Consider the following 20,294-nt stretch of genomic DNA (forward strand, 5'->3'; position numbering starts at 1 on the left):
ATGTTCATGGGTTAGAAGAATGAATATTGTTAAAATGTCGATACCACCCAAAGCAATCTACAGATTCAATGCAATCCCTATTAAAATACCAATGACATTCTTCACAGAAATAGAAAAACAATCCTAAAATATATATGAAACCACAAAAGACACACTAGCCAAAGATATCTTAAGCAAAACGAAGAAAACTGAAGGAATCATGTTACCTGACTTCAAATTATACTACAGAGCTATAGTAACCAAATAACAAGGTACTGGCATAAACACACACACACAGACCAATGGAACAGAACCCAGAACCCAGAAACAAATCCACACACCTGAGGTGAACTCACTTTTGGCAAAGGTGTCAAGAACATACACTGGGGAAAAGACAGTCTCTTCGATAAATGGCACTGGGAAAACTGAATATCCATCTGCAGAAGAATGAAACTAGACACCTATCTCTTGCCATATACAAAAATCAAATAAAACTGGAGCTACCACATGATCCAACAATCCTGCTGGGTATATACCCGAAAGAAAGGAAATCAGTATACTGAAGAGCTATCTGCACTCCCATGTTTATCACAGCACTGTTTCTAACAGCCAAGATTTGGAAGCAACCTAAGTGTACATCAACAGATGAATAAATAAAGAAAATGTGGTATTTATACACGATGGAGTACTCTTCATCCATAAAAAAAGATCTTGTTATTTGCAACAACATGGGTGGAACTGGAGGTCATATGCTAAGTGAAATAAGCCAGGCACAGAAAGGCAAACATCACATGTTCTCACTTATTTGTGAGATCTAAAATTCAAAACAACTGAACTAATGGAGTTACAAAGTAGAAGGATGGTTACTAGAGGCTGGGAAACGCAGTGAGGGAGTGGGCAGGTGGTTAGGATAGTTAATTGGTACAAAAAAGTTAGAAAGAATGAATAAGACCTAGTATTTGATAGCACAACAGGGTGACTATTAGTCAATAATTTAATTGTACATTTAAAAATAACTAAAATAGTATCATTGGATTGTTTGTAACACAAAGGATAAATGCTTACAAGATGTGATTATGTAAGCATTGCATGCCTGTATCAAAACATCTCTTGGAACCCATAAATATATACACCTACTATGTAGCCACAAAAATTAAAATTTCTTTAAAAAGAGCAAAGAAAACCCAAATTCTACTCTAAGTTTCTAATTCAAATGCTATTTTCTCCTCACAAAGCCATCTCTGATCCCCTTTCCTGTGAATTACTATAGCATTTTAACAGTGTATCTTTTCTGGGGCTCACCATTTTTTGCTTGTACAAAAATAATTATCTATTGAGTGCATACTGTGGAAAACATGTTCTGCTAAACATTTTAAATAATAATCTATAACTTTCCTAATAGTGTAAGAAAGGCAGGTAATTTCATCCCAATGTAATAATCGATAAAACTGTTTGATTTCAAAGTCTGTTCTCTTTCCACTATGTCAAACTATCACTTCGGTTTAAATCATACTGCTACTTAATTATTTAAACTTGTTAATATAAAGTTATATACCCAACTTTGTTCTATAAAGGCCTTGAGGAACCTAAGTATGTCCTGAAATATACAAATATCATTCCTTCTATCCAAAAATGATCTCAGGTGGCTTTAAAAAAGATACTACAAAGGGGAAAATCATAATGAAAAAGGAAAATCATAATCAATGAAAAAGGAAGAAGTGAATATGCTAACCATAAATGTTAATTAACATGGTTGCTTGGTGATACGGTTTGGCTCTGTCCCCACCCAAATCTCATCTTGAATTGTAATAATCCCCAAGTGTCAAGGTGAAACTAGGTGGAGAGGGCAGTTTCCCCCATACTGCTCTCCGGTTAGTGAGTGAGTTCTCACAAGATCTGATGGTTTCCTAAGGGGCTTCCACTCTTTGCTCAGCACTCGTTCTGTCTTCTGCCACCCTGTGAAAAGGTGCCTTCCACCATGATTGTAAGCCTCCTGAGGCCTCGCTAGCCATGCACAACTGTGAGTCAAACCTCTTTTCTTTATAAATTACCCAATCTCGGGTATTTCTTCATAGCAGTGTGTGAATGGACTAATACAGTAAATTGGTACCACAGAGAGTCAGGGGCTGCTATAAAGATACCTGAAAATGTGGATATGACTTTGGAACTGGGTAACAAGCAGAGGCTGGAACACTTTGGAGGATTCAGAAGACAGGAAAATGTGGGAAAATCTGGAACTTCCTAGAGACTTGTTGAATGACAATGAAGTCCAGGCTGAGGTGGTCTCAGATGGAGATGAAGAACTTGTTGGGAACTGGAAAGGTCATTCTTGCTATGCTTTAGCAAAGAAACTGGTAGCTTTTTGCCCCTGCCCTAGAGATCTGTGGAATTTTGAGCTTCAGAGAGGTGACTTAGCGTATCTGGTGAAAGAAATTTCTAAGCAGCAAGGCATTCAAGAGGTGACAGAGCATAAAAGTTCAGAAAATTTGCAGCCTGACAATGCAGTAGAAAAGAAAAACCCATTTTCTGGGTAGAAATTCAAGTCTACCACACAAGTGAGAAGCAGCCAAATGCTAATCACCAAGACAATGGGGAAAATGTCTCCAAGGCATGTCAGAGACCTTCACAGAAGCCCCTCCCATCATAGGTCTGGAAGCCTAGGAGGGAAAATTGGTTTTCTGGGCTGGGTCCAGGGCCCCTCTGCTGTGTGCAGCCTAGGGACTTGGTGCCCTGTGTCCCAGCTGCTCCAGCCATGGCTAAAAATGGGGCCAAGGTACAGCTCAGACTTTTGCTTCAGAGGGTGCAAGCCCCAAGCCTTGGCAGCTTCTACATGATGTTGGTCCTGTGGGTGCACAGAAGAGAAGGACTGAGATTTGGGAACCTCTGCCTAGATTTCAGAGGACGTATGGAAACTCCTGGATGTCCAGGTAGAGAGGTGTGCTACAGGGGCAGAGCCCTCATGGAGAACCTCTGCTAGGGCAGTGTGGAAGGGAAATGTGGGGTCAAGAGCCCCCACACAGAGTCCCTACTGGGGCACTGCCTAGCAGAGCTATGAGAAGGAACCACTGTCCTCCAGCCCCCAGAATGGTAGATCCACCCACGGTTTGCACCGGAAAAGCTGCAGACACTCAATGCCAGCCGTGAAAGCAGCCAGTAAGTGGAGGCTGTACCCTGCAAAGCCACAGAGGCAGAGTTGCCCAACACCATGGGAGCACATCTCTTTAATCAGCAAGACCTGCATGCGAGATGTGGAGTCAAAGGAGATCATTTCGGAACTTTAAGGTTTAATGACTGCCCTTTTGGATTTCAGACTTGCATGGGGCCTGTAGCCCCTCTGTTTTGGCCAATTTCTCCCATTTGAAATGGGCGTATTTACCCAATGCCTGTACTCCCATTGTATCTAGGAAGTAACTAACTTGCTTTTGACTTTATAGGCTCAGAGGCAGAAGGGACTTGCCTTATCTCAGATGAAACTTTAGACTTGGACTTCTGGGTTAATCGTGGAATGAGTTAAGACTTTGGAAGACTGTTGGGAAGGCATGATTGTGTTTTGAAATGTGAGGACATGAGACTTGGGAGGGGCCGGGGCAGAATGATATAGTTGGGCTGTGTCCCCACCTGAATGTCATCTTGAATTATAATAATTCCCATGAGTCCAGGGTGGGATCAGGTGGGAGATAATTGAATTATGGGGGTGGCTTCCCCCATACTGGTCTTGTGATAGTGAGTGAATACTCATGAGATCTAATGGTCTATAAGGGGCTTCCCCCTTCACCTGGCACTCATTCTCTCTCCTGCCACCCTGTGAAGAGGTGCTTTCTACCATGATTGTTAAGTTTCCTGAGGCCTCCCCAGCCAAGTGGAACTGTGAGTCAATTACACCTCTTTCCTTGATAAATTACCCAGTCTTGGGTATTTCTTCATAGCAGCATGAGAATGGACTAATACGCTTGGATTGTACATAAAATTTGGAAGTTGAGGAAAGACAGGAAAACAATTAAATTTAATTCAATGCCAGAAAGAACCTCACGAGTACGTCAGGGTAGGCAAGGATTCCCCACTACTGAGTCGAAAATAGATTTTCCATAAGAAACAGTGTTATTTATAGACAAACCTTATTGCTGCATTAGAGTAAAAAGTTCTTAAAGCTTCTCCTGTATACCATATAACACAAATGTTAATAGATGGTGTTAATTTACTGTAAGACTGAATTTACCAGTCTTTGTAGTAAACAAAGCGATAACATCCATTGAAGAGAAGAAAAGATGGAAACAGATGGGAACCAGATTATTCGAATTTGGAATGGCTATTGTAGGAATCTGTCAAATTTAGAAAGAGATCAATCAAAGGACTGTTAAGTAGAAATGAGACTATGGCAAAAGTTACATAGTACTGATTTTCAGATGAGAACATTAGCAGTGTTTTTAGAAATACCTTTTAAACACCTGGTGGCTGGAGAATTAAAACAGGCAAGGCAGACAATATTGTGCGAGCCAGTGCTACATACTGGCAAGAAAGGAATCACAGAAAATTAAGGAAGTAAGGGTAAAGTGTTCATGGGGACATTAGTGAAATTACTACAAGTTTCAAGCTAGGAGAATTGATGGATTGGAGGTCAATATAGGGTCAAGAACAGGTTTATAGTTAAGACGAAGTAAGAGACTAGTGGTTTTGGTGATAAAAATAAATGCAGACATAGAGGTCTGAGAGGTAACACACTTTCTCTGTATGATGGAATTTAAGATGTGGCAGTGAGGATCTTGGAGTAGGTCTCACCTCTTCCTGGTCCCATATATCCAGGACTGGGGTATGAGGAGAGAAAGCATCTTTTTCTCCCTCAGATAATATATCTTGGGTAACACTGGTTTGTAGCAGAGGCTGGCAAACTTTTGCTGCAAAGGGTCCAACAACAAACATCTTAGACTTTATGGGTTTTATACAGTCTCTGTCACATATTTTTTTTTTTTTTGAGACGGAGTCTTGCTCTGTCATCCAGGCTAGAGTGCAGTGGTGTGATCTTGGCTCACTGCAATCTCTGACTCCTGGGTTCAAGTGATTCTCCTCCTCAGCCTTCCGAGTAGCTGGGACTACAGGCGCCCTCCACAACGCTCAGTTATTTTTGTTTTTATTTTTAGTGGAGACAGGGTTTCACCATGTTGGCCAGGCTGGTCTCGAACTCCTGACCTCAAGTGATTCGCCAGCCTCAGTCTCCCAAAAGTGCTGGGATTACAGGCATAAGCCACAGCACCCAGCCATATTCTCTCTTTTCTAATTTTTAAAATTATTTATTTAATTTTGAAACACAGTCTTGCTCTGTCACCCAGACTGGAGTGCAGTGGCACCATCTTGGCTCACTGCAACCCCACCTCCTGGGTTCAAGCAATTCTCGTGTCTCAGCCTACCACGTAGCTGAGATTATAGGCATGTGCCACCATGCTTGGCTAATTTTTGTATTTTTAGTAGAGATGAGGTTTTGCCATGTTGGCCAGGTTGGTCTTGAACTCCTGGCCTCAAGTGATCTGCCCGCTTCAGCCTCCCAAGTTCCTGGGATTACAGACGTGAGCTACCGTGCCAGGCTCTTTTCTCTTTTTAAGTAGTATTTTGAAAATATGAATGCCATTCTTAGCTTACAGTCCTTATAATAACAGACCACTGACCAGATTTGATTCATGGGCTATAGCTTGCCCTGTTGTAAAGGATAAAATTCTAACTTCTTAGTTTCACAGAAAAGACATTTATGACATAAATCTAATCTATGTCTCCAGTCATGTCATCCCACACTTGCTTAACTGTAAACTTCTTAGTTGCAGAATTTTTCAGTTTCCTAAACATTTGGTCTAGGGCCTTTTATATTTCAGGACGTCTGTTCTCTCAGTTCCCTTAGACCCAAAGTCTTTCTCTATTTCTCAGCTTATACAGTTCCTCACTATTCATACTCCATCCCAAATGTCACTTTTTATATACCCACCACAATTCACCCAAGCAGTGATCAATTACCTTTGCTATTCAAAACCTCTTTTTTATTGTTCATATCCCCCTTAAAGTTTTCATTTGTGCTGAATGATGATCCTTTTACAGGTCTACCTCTCCATATCCCCACAACTCTGAGTGTCTAAGGGAAGAAAGGTCTTATCCATCTTCGTGTTTCCACTCCCTCATACGAGTGCCTAACAGTACATAGCTTATGGCACATGCTCAGCAAATAGTCATCAATGAATGAACTAGTCATACAGTATGAGTATACTTCATACTTTTTAATATAAATACCTTTGCGTGATAATTACTAAGATCATATCCTAAACTACTACTTTATACAATCATAATTTGATTCTACTGCTTACTTGTTTAAAAAATAAAAATTACATTTCAATTTCACTGTGATTTTAAGAGAATTTTCTACTTTACATGCCTGGTTGTGTTCATGAGCTGTACAATTATCTGTTCCATTATATTCTGTAAGCTGTTCTCTTCGTTTTTCTCTAATAAGAATTTTATGAACATCATCTTCCAGTCTATTGAAGAATCCTCCATCATGTGATAAAGTCTGAGAAGAACTCAATTCCTGTCAAAAATGAATTACGATTTACTATCATTCAACATGCACTGATATGCATTTAATACACCTAGTCAACCACAAGAAGGGATATGCATTTAGTACACCTAGTCAACCACTAGAAGGATAAAAAAAGAAAGAAAAATGACAGCTAAGAGACAATCAACGACTTGATCCTTCTCCATCTCCAGAAGATAAAACAGTAGAGACACATTTGGAAATTTCCTTTCATACTTCATATTTTTTGGACTTAGATATTGCTTTTTAAATTTCTGTTATTTATATACTGAACAACTCTCCAATTTAATGTGTACAAGACACTGGTTTTTTAATATATTCACAGAGTTGTACAACCATCACCCCAATCAACTATATAACAATTCCATCACCCCAAAAAGAAACTGTACCCATTAGCCGTCACTCCCCATTTCCTCCTAATACCTGCCACCCGCCCCAGGCAACACTAATCTATTTACTGTCTCTATAGATTTGCCTATTATGGACATTTTGTATATACAGAATAATCCAATATGTGAACTTTTGACTGGCTTCTCTGACTTAGCAAAATATTTTCAAGATTCATCCATATATGGCTTGTATCAGCACTTCATTCCTTTTTATTGCCAAATATCCCATTCTACATTTTATTTCTCCATTTGTTGGTTGATAGACATTTGGGTTGTTGCTACTTTTTGGCTATTACGAATTGTGCTGCTATAATATTCATGCACAAGATTTTGTGTGGACGTATTTTCAATTCTCTTGGGTATATACCTAAGAGTAGAACTGCTGGTGACTCTATGTTTAACCTTTTGAGGTATCGCTAGATAATTTTCCAAAGCAGCCCATCATTTTACAATCCCATCAGCAGTCAAGTGGGTTGCAATTTCTCCACATTCTCATCAACACTTGTTGTTATCTGCCTTTTTCATGATAGCCACCGGGTGTGAAGTGCTATCTCATTGCGGTTTTCAGTCGCATTTCCCTGACAGCGAATGGTGCTGAACATCCCTTTTGTGTGCTTATTGAAGATTTGTATATCTTTTTGGAGAAATGTCTTCTCAGATCCTTTGCCCATTTTTTAACTGGGTTACTTGTTTTTTTGAGTTGTAACAGTTCTTTATATATTCTAAATGTCTATATCTTATTGAATATGATTTACAAACATTTACTACCATTTCATGGCTTGTCTTGGCATATTCTTGATGGTATTCTTTGTATCACAGAAGTTTTTAAATTTGATGAAGTCCAATTTTATCCAAGAAACCATTGCTTAACTCAAAAATTTACTCCTATATTTTCTTCTAAAAGTTTTACAGATTTAGCTCATGTGTTTAGTTCTGTGATCCATTTTGAGTTAATTTTTGTACACGGTGTGAAGAAAGGGTCGAAATTCACTCTTCTGCATGACAATATCCAGCATCATGTGTTGAGAAGATTATTCTTTTGCCCTTTTAACTGCGTTGGGACTCTTGTCCAAAATCAATAGTTTGTTTCTGAACTCTTAATCCTATTCTATCAATCTGTAAATGTCTATTCTTATGCCAGTACCAGATTGTCTTGATTATTATAGTTTTATGTTGCTCAATCGTTTACACTGCTTTTTTTTTTTTGAGACGGAGTTTCACTCTTGTTGCCCAGGCGGAGTGCAATGGCAAGATCTCGGCTCACTGCAACCTCTTCCTCCCAGGCCAGGTTCAAGCAATTCTCCCACCTCAGCCTCCTGAGTAGCTGGGATTAAAGGCATGTGCCACCACGCCCAGGTAATTTAGTATTTTAGTAGAGACAGGGTTTCACCATGTTGGCCAGGCTCGTCTCGAACTCCTGACCTCAGGTGATCTGTCCGCCTCAGCCTCCCAAAGTGCTGGGATTACAGGTATGAGACACTGCGTCCGGCGTTACATTACGTTTTAAAATAATTTTTATATAAATTCCACATGCCAATAGAAGATTTTTAAAAGATAAGATTTTTATCACTGTCTATCCAATTATATATTAGAAATTTTACATTCTCCAAGAAAAGGAGCATTTCCTCTTCAACATCCTGTTATGAAGACAGAGACTGAAGAAAACATTCCTCTCACTCATTGGTTTCACCTATGTCCCACATTCTCTTTTTTTTGAGACAGTCTCACTCTCACCCAGGCTGGAGTGCAGTGGCCCAATCTCGGCTCACTACAACCCTCACCCCTTTAGGTTCAAGCGATTCTTGTGCCTCAGCCTCCCAAATAGCTGGGATTACAGGCACATGCCACCACTCCTGGCTAATTTTTTTGTTGTTTGTTTGTTTGTTTGTTTGTTTAGCAGAGATGGGGTTTCACCATGTTGGCCAGTGGGTCTCAAACTCCTGACCTCAGGTGATCCACCCGCCTCAGCCTCCCAAAGTGCTAGGATTATAGGTGTGAGCCACCATGCCTGTCCCCACATTCTTGAACTACAGCTATTCACAATTGTATCTGTGGGCAAACGACCCCAAGGTTCAATAATTATTCATACTTTTCACTTCACATTATCTTAGAAAGTAAAGTGTTTGAAAAAAATTTATTTGTATACCAGTGCTTACTATATGAATGACATTAAAAATGGTTGTGCAACACTTTATATCTTGCAAAGCACTTAAACAAACATTACCTTATTTGAATTTCATAAACATCATGAGAAGTTGATGAGCAAGTATTATTTCCCCCCCAAGTAATTATGGCCTTAAGAATGCATGTGCGATTGCTAAGGGATACAGGCATAACTCTAAAATTACTGCTTCATAAAATAGTTCCAGTATATTCTTGTAAGATTTTATTTTACAGCAATAAATACAGAAATGCTAAAAACCACTGCTGAGCTTCTGTGGAAAGAATAACATACTGCTAGCAACTAATCAGCCTCTGGATTTCATATCACTAGAGATTATAATTATAATTATAATTCTAGCCAATGTCCCTGCTTGTTGATAGTTGCTCCCATTACCATCACATCATGCCTATCACAAAGGGCATTCTGTCCCTTAAGTACTTTTGAGTGAGGCCACAAAGTTTCTTTTTGATCTAGAGATGGGATTTTTTTCAAAAGATACTGATAACAAACTATAGGGGGGAGAAAAGCAAAAATAAATCAACTACTACATCCCACACACACCAGAAAAAAAGATTAAAATATGGCAAATGTAAGAACATAAAATATTTAACATAATAAGTCTAGCCAATTCAATTTCAGTTTAATTCAAATTCTGCACACCTATTTGGTACCAAGCACACAATGAATAAGACAGTATGGTGCTTATGTAAGTATAGACATACAGATCAATGGAACAGAATTGAGAATCTAGATATGAGCCTTCATATTTATGATCAAATTTACTTTTTAAAAAGGTGTCAAGGTATTTTATTAAGGATATAAGAGTGTTGTGCTGGGAGAAGTGTCTATGCATATGCCACAATTCACAAAAATTAACTCAAAATATGGATCACAGACTCTTAAAGGAAGAACTAAAACTATAAAGCCTCTAGAATAAATCATCATGACTTGTGTTAGGCAAAGATTTATTTAATGAACACCAAAAGTACAATCCATAAAGTCACAAACTAGACTTGATAACAATTTAAAACTTTTGTGCTTCAAAAGACACAATTAAAAAACCAAAAAGACATCCCCAAAATATGTACATCTATTTTGTATCAATAAAAAATTAAAAAGAAAAGGCAAGGCATAGCCTGGAAGAAAGTATTTGCAAATCATGTATCTGATAGAGGACTTGTTTTCAGACATATAAAGAAATCATACAAATCAATAAGAAAATACACAAAAATGAGCAAAAAATTTGAATAGATATTTCCAGAAGATATAAGAATGGCTGATAAGCATATGAAAAGATGTCTGAAATCACCAGTTATTAGGAACATGCAAATTAAAACTACAATCAAATACATTACATACCCACTAGAATGGCTATAATCAAAACAAGAGATAATATCAAGCGTTGGCAAGGATGCGTAGGAGCTAGAACTCTCATATATTGCTGGTGGGAGTGAAAAATGGTAGTCATTTTGAAAAACAATTTGACAGACTCTTTAAAAGTTAGACATAAATTCACCACACAACCCAGCAATTTCACTCCTAAGTAACCACCTACGAGAAATTAAAACATATCCACACAAAGACATACGTCAAATGTGCATAGCAAGCCTATAACCTGGTGAATAAACAACATTTATACAATGAAATACTATTCAGTGATACGGCTGAATTAACTACTGCCACATGCTACAACACGGATATACCTCAAAAACATTATGCTAAGTGAAAGAAGCCAAACACAAAGACTATACATTCTATGAGTCCATTATAGGTTACAAGAAACTGCAAATCTCTAGAGACAGAAAGTAGATCAGTGGTTGCCAGGGGCTGAAGGTGGGAGTAGGGATTGACTACAAATGGCTATGAGGGAATTTTCTGAGATTATGGAAATGTTCCAAAACTAGACTGTGTTTATGGCTGCACAACCATGAGTGAATTATATACTTGCAATGGGTGAATTTTATAGTATTTAAATTATAACTCAATACAGCTGTTTAAAAAAAAAACACACTTGATCCCACACCATTCTACTTAAAAACTAGAATATTACCTACAGACCTTATGGCCCATCTATATACTCTTCCCTTAGTCTCATCTTCGTGCCTCGACAAGGTAACCATTACCTCAACTTAGTGTTGATCATTTCCATGTTTTTGTTGTTTTACAGATGCATCACTAAATAATATAATTTCATTTTGTTTGGTTTCTTAACTTTTTATTATGAAAATTTTCATCCATATACTCTACATTTAGATTTAAGGATTTTCTACATTTAGCCCTCCTTTTTGGGCCTAGGTATTTTATAATAAAATGCAGTTATTATGATAGTTCATCTCGAAATTCTTTCACATGCAGCTATAAAAAATTGTCCAATTTAACCATATTATCATCATCATACCTAACAAAAATCATATTTGTTAACATCACCTTATTCCTACTTTATTATTACTATTATTATTTTGTAGACAGTTTTGCTCTAGGCACGTGCCATCACACCCGGCTAATTTTTCTATCTTTAGTAGAGACGGGGTTTCACCACATTGGCCAGGCTGGTCTCTGACCTCCTGGCCTCAAGTGATCCACCCGCCTCGGCCTCCCAAAGTGCTGGGATTACAGGCGTGAGCCACTGTGCCTGGTCTATACCTACTTTACATTAATTCAAGATGGATTTAAGACTTAAATGTAAGACCTAAAACTACAAGAATCCTAGAATAAAACCTAGGAAATACCAATGGGGACACTGGCCTTGGGAAAGAGTTTATGACCAACTCCTCAAAAGCAATTGCAGGTCAGGCACGGTGGCTCACGCCTGTAGTCCCAGCACTTTGGGAGGTCAAGGTAGGTGGATCACTTGAGCCCCGGAGTTCAAGACCAGCCTGGACAACATGGCGAAACCCTGTCTCTACCAAAAATACAAAAAACTAGCTGGGAGTGGTGGCATGTGCCTGTAGTCCCAGCTGCTGTGGTGGGAGGATTGCTTGAGCCTGGGAGGCAGAGGTTGCAGTAAGCTGAGACCGTGCCATTGCACTCCAGCCTGGGTGACAGAGCAAGACCCTGTCTCAAAAAAAAAAAAAGCCAATTGTAGCAAAAACAAAAACTGACAAACGGGACCTAGTTAAACTGAAAAGCTTCGGCACAGCAAAAGAAACTATCAATAAACAGAAACCCCCTTTTTTTTTTTTTTTTTTTTTTTTTTGAGACAGAGGCTGGCTCTGTTGCCAGGTTGGAGTGCAGCAGTGCGATCTCGACTCACTGCAACCTCCACCTCCCGGGTTCAGGCGATTCTCCTGCCTCAGCTCCTGAGTAGCTGGGACTACAGGTGCATGCCACCACACCCAGATAAGTTTTGTATTTTTAGTAGAGACGGGATTTCATCATGTTGGCCAGGACGGTCTCGATCTCTTGACCTTGTGATCCGCCCACCTCAGCTTCCCAAAGTGCTGGGATTACAGGGGTGACCCACCGCGCCCGGCCCCTTCTTTTTTTTTTTTTAAGAGATGAAGTCTCACTCTGTCGCCCATGCTAGAGTGCGGTGGTGCTATCATAGCTCATCCTGGAATTCCTGAGCTCAAATGATCTTCCTGCCTCAGCATCCAGAGTAGCTGGGACTACAGGTGTGCACCACTGAGCCTGCTAATTTTGTTTATGAAAATTTTTAGAGATGGGATCACACTATGTTGCCTAGGCTGGTCTGGATCTCCTGGCCTCAAGCATTCCTCTCACCTCAGCCTCTGAAGTAGCTGGCATTACAGGCGCCAGCCACCATGCCTGGCTCTGGGCTCGTCTTGTATATTCCCTGTCATCGCCCTAGATACAGCCATTTCTCCAACGAGTCCTGGTTCCTTTTACTGGAGAATGGTTTTAGAAACAGTAATCAATTTAACATCATAAAAATAACCTCATATTCTATGACCCCGATGTGATATGATAGGAAATATATCACACCATCTAGGAAATATTCTTGCCTCCCTCAACTCCTCAAGAAAACAACTTGATGGATGACAGAGCCTTGGCAGATGTTAAAAAGGAAAAAAAAATTTTTTTTGAAAGAAAACAACTTGAGTCGGGCACAGTGGCTCACTCCTGAAATCCCAACACTATGGGAGGCCAAGGCCGGTAGATCACTTGAGGCCAGGAGTTTGAGACCAGCCTGAGCAACCCAGTGAAACCCCGTCTCTAATAAAAATAAAAAATTAACTGGGCGTGGTGCTGGGCGCCTGTAATCCCAGCTACTCGGGAAGCTGAGGCTCAAGAATCGCTTGAACCCAGGAAGCAGAGGTTGCAGTGAGCCAAGATCGTGCCACTACACTCCAGCCAGGAGGACACAGAGAGACTCTGTCTCAAAAAAAAAAAAAAAAAAAAAAAAAGAGAGAGAAAAGAAAAGAAAAAGAAATGAATCTATCAAACCTCAAAAGCTAATTAACAGTTTATAAGAAATTCTGTAAAGCTATAACCCCGAGATTCCCAAGTAATCATGTGATCTCGCCTGAAGTGAAGGAACAGATAGCAGCTGAGAGTAGGGAGTGAAATGGAGAGTCCTAAAGCTGTCTAAATGCCTGGATCCAGTCAACTATGAGGTCAACTCTCCCCCTATTCTTCCATGATGTGGTTACATTAACCAAATAACTGTCTCTGTTTTGTTTATGCTGGATTGAGTTGGGCTTCTGTTGCTTATAACCAAAGAGAGCTAACAAATGTAACACATACAAACAAGGAAAGGCTTAGTAACAAGAATGAGCTCAACACACTGAGAAGAATAGAAAATAGGTTGAATCTTTAGGTAAAACCAGATTCTAGGTGAGATTTATTTAAAGCTAGATTAAATTTATTTGCTTTTAAAATTTAATAACCTAAAAAAAAGAAAAGAAACAAAATAAAAAATTTAGGCCAGGTGCAGTGGCTCACACCTCTAATCCCACTTTGGGAGGCCGAGGCAGGTGGATCACGAGGTCAAGAGATAGAGACCATCCTGGCCAACATGGTGAAACCCCACCTCTATTAAAAATACAAAAATTAGCTGGGCATGGTGGTGCACATCTGTAGACCCCAGCTACTCGGGAGACTGAGGCACGAGAATCGCTTGAACCCTGGAGGTGGAGGTTGCACCACTGCATTCCAGCTTGGCAAGATAGCGAGACTCCATCTCAGAAAGAAAAATAAAATTAATAGTCTAATTTGATTACTGCTACACTCCTGTGTGTTGGTAGCATTAACAATAGGGTTCATTTTTTTAGCGTATTTTTCTTTATTCTTTATTTCAATTGCACTCTGATCATTTATCATAATTTTAGAAATCAACAGATCCAACATTACTTTTCATAATATAACTAGGGCCTAAAGTGAATAAATTATTTGTCCACGCTCATAATCAGCTAAAGGTAGACATGTGGAGCATTAGTGCTAAAGCACAGTGCTATAAGAAGGAAGTAGGTTGTAGAGACAGATAGGACTGGGTTTGTTCCCTGGTTCCTTTCTTCACACAGTTCTTTTTATTTTTAATATAATTTTTACATAAGTAGTACACGGACATGATAGAAAATTCAGAAGCTTATACTGTAAAAAGCAGGCAGGCTATTTCTCCTATCCCTCTGTCCAATATCTCCCCCACTGCCACCTTTGACAACCACTGTTACAGTTTCTTGGGTACTCCTCCAATGATAGTGCATTCAAGCATATTGAAGACTGGATCATTTAGACTTCAAGACATATGATGATCACTAAGATTTTTAAAACTAAAACCATACTAGAAGGACTGGAGTTTGGAAGGCCAGATAAAATTGGGACTAGAGAGAAATGAGTATCTATGAGATACCCTTCCTAACAGTTCTGGCATTTAAAAAGCAACATATTAAAAAACAAAACAACTTCAGTCCAACAGAAGAAAAAAGACTAAGAATCAAATAAAACTCCTGAAAAGGCATGATTTGTTGAGATTTTATAAAGAGGTATGTACAAGCACCTACTCTAGACAGAAGAAAAAAGAAATAATGAAATTAACCTGAGAACAAGTTTAGCTAGCACCAAGAATATATATGCAGTTCAAGTACACCTCATCACCCATCAATAAAGTAAAATATTTTCCCTTCTGAATGTTATCCAATAAATATCTGATTTAAGGGGAGGTAGGTAAGAAGAATATTATTTGCCACAGATGTTAGGAACTTAAGAGTAGCCATGAAAAAAAAATCCCTTGGCCTAAGTAATATATTAAAGATGGAATGAATTAAGTTAATCATTCAGCATACGACGTTAACAAAACTAGTTCATTTGTAGGAGCAAATAACATTTTGTTTGAGAGTTCAAATTGGAATTTTCTTTAGGCTTTTTTGGATTCTCTGTGGAAAAAAAGATCTTCTAAATTTCTAGATCAATGGTATAACCGTTGTAACATTTAAATATTTAAGTCCCAGAAAGAAATGCCTCTAATGGAAATGGAACATAATTTCGGCATACTTTTAACAAGTATCAAAAGGTACACCAGTCAGAATGGCTATTACTAAAAAGTCAAAAAATAACAGATACTGGCAGGGTCACAGAGAGAAAGAAATGCTTATCCACTGTTGGTGGGAATGTAAATTAGTTCAACCACTGTGGAAAGCAGTGTGGCGATTCCTCAAAGAACTAAAAACAGAAATACCATTTGATCCAGCAATCCCATTACTGGATATATACCCAGAGGAATATAAATGGTTCTATTATAAAGACACGTGCACACATATGTTCACTGAAGCACTGTTCACAATAGCAGACATAGAATCAACCTAAATGCCCATCAATGGTAGACTGGATAAAGAAAACGTGGTATATATGCACCATGGAATACTATGCAGCCATAAAAAAGAATGAGACTGTGTCCTCTGCAGGGACATGGATAGAGCTGGATGCCATTATCCTTAACAAACTAATGCAGAAACAAAAACCAAATACTGCATGTTCTCACTTTAAGTGGGAACTAAATAATGAGAACACATGGACACATAGAGGGGAACAAGACACACTGGGGCTTACCAGAGGGTGAAGGGTGGGAGGAGGGAGAGGATCAAGAAAAATAACTAATGGGTACTAGGCTTAATACCTGGGTGACAAAATAATCTGTATAACAAACCACCGTGACCAAAATTTACCTATATAATAAACCTACACATGTACCCCTGAACTTTAAAAGTTAAAAAACAAAAACAAAAATAAAGATAATGTGAATTACATATTCTTATAACCAAATTCTTAATATAGTTGTAAGGGAAATAAATCATAATTAGACTGTATTTACAAATGTGGAACTTAATCAGAAATCTTCAAAATGAATTTTATTATATATCAGATTATTTAACAAGACAGAACACAGCTCTAAAATAAGGAAAGACAAGATATATTATTCTACATACAGAAGCTTGTTTAAATACAACTCATCTTTAATATATTAAATAGGTAGGATCTTGTCAGTTTGCATTTTTTGTCTTCTTTCAAATCAGGAAAGAAGAAAACGCAAGCATCAAACAGTTTATAGAGTTGTCTTAGGAGCAGGTACACCATGTGTATCTGCTTTCTTATTTGTATAACACTATCCCCCAAATAAATCAATGGACAAAAATAAATTGGAATCAGTTCAAAAGTATGTTTTCCACTTTCAAACATGGAATTAATATTCAGTCTATATATGTAGTCATTTAAATTTTAATCTAAAAAATGATGACAATGGTTTGCAAATAACTTTTAAAAAAATTGACCATCTGTTTCAACAACAAATCAATTCTGTGTTTGCATGCATAGTTAGGAACTAAATTATTAATACAATCACAAAATTATTTAGATGTGATTTTTTTTAAGAGATAGATTTCGTTTTCCTAGCCTGTGAAGCAAATGTTTGAAACAAACAAAAAAATGGTCAGAAGCCATATATATATATATATATATATACACACACACACACACGCACATATACATATACATACATATATACACATATACACATATATGTGTATATATATACACGTGTATATGTGTATATATATACACGTGTATATGTGTATATATATACACACATATATATACACGTATATGTGTATATATATACACATATACACACACACACACACACACACACACACATTCTAAAGTGAAATCGAGGACCATCTGACCATAAAAAATTAAACAACGGAATGCCTAATAAGAACACATATATAATAGAAGAATAAAACTTTGAAATTACCTTAAAAGATAAAAATAATTTTAACATTTCATTAGTATCTTCCTCAATGTTAGAGCATTTTTTTAATAGCACAATCTCCCAACTAAAAGATTTGGAGAGGCTATACTATAGTATTTAAATAACAGAAACAAAAAACCCCAAATCCCCAACACCAGGAAGTGTAGGCTACACTAACAGTGAATGGTAAGAGAAGTATATAATCAGGTTACTTTTACCCATGAGTATATCTAAAGAATCACAGTTTATTTCAAACTTCCATAATTCCAAAATAATATGAGACATCTTCTCAGGATAAGTTTTTAATAAAGATTAAAATATAGAGTGAGAGATTAAACCACTTTTCTCTGAGATTTTAAGCTTGGCACACACAAAGTAACCTTTGGCTCATACACATATATATACAAATTAGGATGATAAAGCCAAATTATATTATGCTTCATGCAAATAATCTTATTTTTATTCTACAACAATGCATTTTACATCCTTATATAATGGCAGAAACATGACTGGGTTCACTCAAGACAAACCTATGGGTTGTCCTTTAAATGATTATGTCTCAAAAAAGACTTACTGCTAAGTATTTAAGTATTATTCTTAAAATCATCAGTGTTTTCTACAAGATGGCTACAATAAGACTTACCTCAGTCTTTTTACTAATGTGATCTGTAAATGAAAAAGAAACAAAGATGAAACTTTATTGAAGGAATTTAACATACAAAAATGTAAAAAAAAAAAAAAAAACGAAACTGAAAGAATTTCAAAATTATCTCCTATGAGTTATAGAAGTCATTTAAGAGTTTTCTAGGATTCTCATCTGATTTACTTTTCTAGGTTTAAGATGTTAAAATTCAGTATATAATTACTAATTTACTCAGCTTAAGGAACGTCTTATCCTAGTAAATCCCACCCATATCAAGGGATATTATTGCATTTTAAGCATATGAGTTCCACATAATCTAGTTTTTTGGTTCCACATAATTTGGGAGGTGGGGGGAGCAAGTCAAGGGGACACAAGTATGTCCAAAATCAAATCACAGGTTACTATAACTACAAAAAATGTTCAGATTACTGCTTTTGTGTAATGAAAAGGTAGAATAGTAATTTATGTCCTTTAAAACTACTAGCTATTTTATTTTAAAAGCATATATCAAGGTGATTTAATAGCACTATTAAAAAACCTAAAAATTGATATATATTTATAGACTTAACATAAAAAATAACCCATAACAAATACATCTAGATGAAACAAATTATTGGCTTAGAAACAACACAGCATTTCTGGAAAGGAATTATCAAGAGCAGAATGAGGAAAGCATAAGGGAATCTAAAGTACAAATAAGGCCAGGGGCTATGGCTCACACCTGTAATCCCAGCACTTTGGGAGGCCCAGGCGGGCGGATCACCTGAGGCCAGGAGTTTGAGACCAGGCTGGCCAACATGGTGAAACCCCATCTCTACTAAAAATAAAAAAACTAGCCAGGCATGGTGGTACACACTTGTAATCCCAATTACTTGGGAGACTGAGGCATGAAAATTGCTTGAACCCAGGAGGCGGAGGCTGCAGAGAGCCAGGATCATGCTACTGCACTCCAACCTGGGCGACAGAGCAAAACTCTGTCTCTAAATAAAGTACAAATAGTGGGCAAGTATTCTTATTTAAAGTAGATGATCAGGTATCTAATACTTAACAATGCTTCTTGTGTACAGCAGAAATTTTCTATTCTCAAGGACTAAAAATATAACTTTCTTATGACTGAGAATCTAAAAGCTGGTCCAGTTCTCTAAAGAATTTCTTGATCAGAATAGTGTCCATAAACACAGTAAATGCCAAAATCACCAACTTTAGATCAAACTACCAAATCTTGGTAAATTAGACAGTCACTCTTCTAGCACGCTCTATTTAGCATACAGTGATGCCAGAACCTAAGGAAGAACCTCAACTGTGTTAATCATGACTTGCAAAAGCTGTGTAGGTTCTCTTTAATAACATACTGATGTTTTTCTCAAATTTACATACCATTTAAGAAATCAAATGTGGAAAACAGGAGTTTTAGAAAGCATTCTTTCCATGTTTCTGCCTAGTTTTTAATAAAATGTATTTCTTCTTTTTTTTTTTTTTTGAGATGGAGTCTCACCCTGTCGCCCAGGCTGGAGTGCAGCGGTACGATCTCGGCTCACTGCAACCTCTGCCTCCCGGGTTCAAGTGATTCTCCTGCCTCAGCCTCCCGAGTAGTTGGGACTACAGGCGCGTGCCACCATGCCCAGCTAATTTTTTGTATTTTTAGTAAAGATCGGTTTCACTGTGTTAGCCAGGGTGGTCTTGATCTCCTAACCTCGTGATCCGCCCACCTCGGCCTCCCAAAGTGCTGGGATTACAGGCGTGAGCCACTGTGCCCAGCCACTTCTTTCTTTTTTTTTTAAGAGACAAGATCTCACTCTGTTGCCTAGGCTAGAGTGCACTGGCATGATCATAGCTCACTATAGCTAGCCTCTGGCTCCTAGCCTCAAGTGATCTCCTGCTTTGGCCTCCCAAAGCACTGGGATTAAAGGTATGGTCCACTGCATCCAGCCCAAAATAGATTTCTTAGGTGAAATCTTTTTTACTAATCTTGGATTTTTTTTTTTTTTTTGAGATAGATGGAGTTTCGCTCTTGTTGCCCAGGCTGGAGTGCAATGGCGCAATCTTGGCTCACTGCAACCTCCACCTTTTGGGTTCAAGCAATTCTCCTGCCTCAGCCTCCTGAGTAGCTGGGATTACAGGAATGCACCACTACGCCCAGCTAATTTTTTGTATTTAGTAGAGATGGGGTTTCACCATGTTGGCCAGGCTGGTCTCAAACTCCTGACCTTAGGTGATCCACCTGCCTCAGCCTCCCAAAGTGCTGGAATTGCAGGCGTGATGAGCCAACGCGCCCAGCCTTTTTTTTTTTTTTTTTTTTTTAAAGATGAAGTCTCACTCTGTTGTCCCAGGCTGGAGTCCAG

General features: G+C 38.1%; 1 protein-coding gene across 5 annotated transcripts in view, besides 1 other annotated feature; it reads right to left on the reverse strand.

The window, feature by feature from the left end:
* Window positions 1-20,294, reverse strand: part of GKAP1 (G kinase anchoring protein 1) — a 78,345-nt gene that overhangs the window by 23,005 nt on the left and 35,046 nt on the right. For 4 of the 5 annotated variants that reach the window (NM_025211.4, XM_011519058.3, XM_005252241.3 and 1 more), the window contains 2 exons: window positions 17,953-17,975; window positions 6,389-6,541 (listed from right to left, as the gene is read on the reverse strand). In NM_025211.4, coding sequence (NP_079487.2) covers window positions 6,389-6,541; window positions 17,953-17,975 — 176 coding nt within the window. The remainder of the gene's footprint in view (window positions 1-6,388; window positions 6,542-17,952; window positions 17,976-20,294) is intronic. The other variant, NM_001135953.2, reaches the window with a different exon arrangement.
* Window positions 7,412-7,612: a silencer, noted in NCBI's record as "peak7279 fragment used in MPRA reporter construct". NCBI's record gives its function as "represses an SCP1 promoter by STARR-seq MPRAs in K562 erythroleukemia cells {active_cell/tissue: K562}" and the evidence as "EXISTENCE:reporter gene assay evidence [ECO:0000049][PMID:32103011]".

The sequence above is a fragment of the Homo sapiens genome, chromosome 9 (genome assembly GCF_000001405.40).
Source record: "Homo sapiens chromosome 9, GRCh38.p14 Primary Assembly".
NCBI lineage: Eukaryota > Metazoa > Chordata > Mammalia > Primates > Hominidae > Homo > Homo sapiens.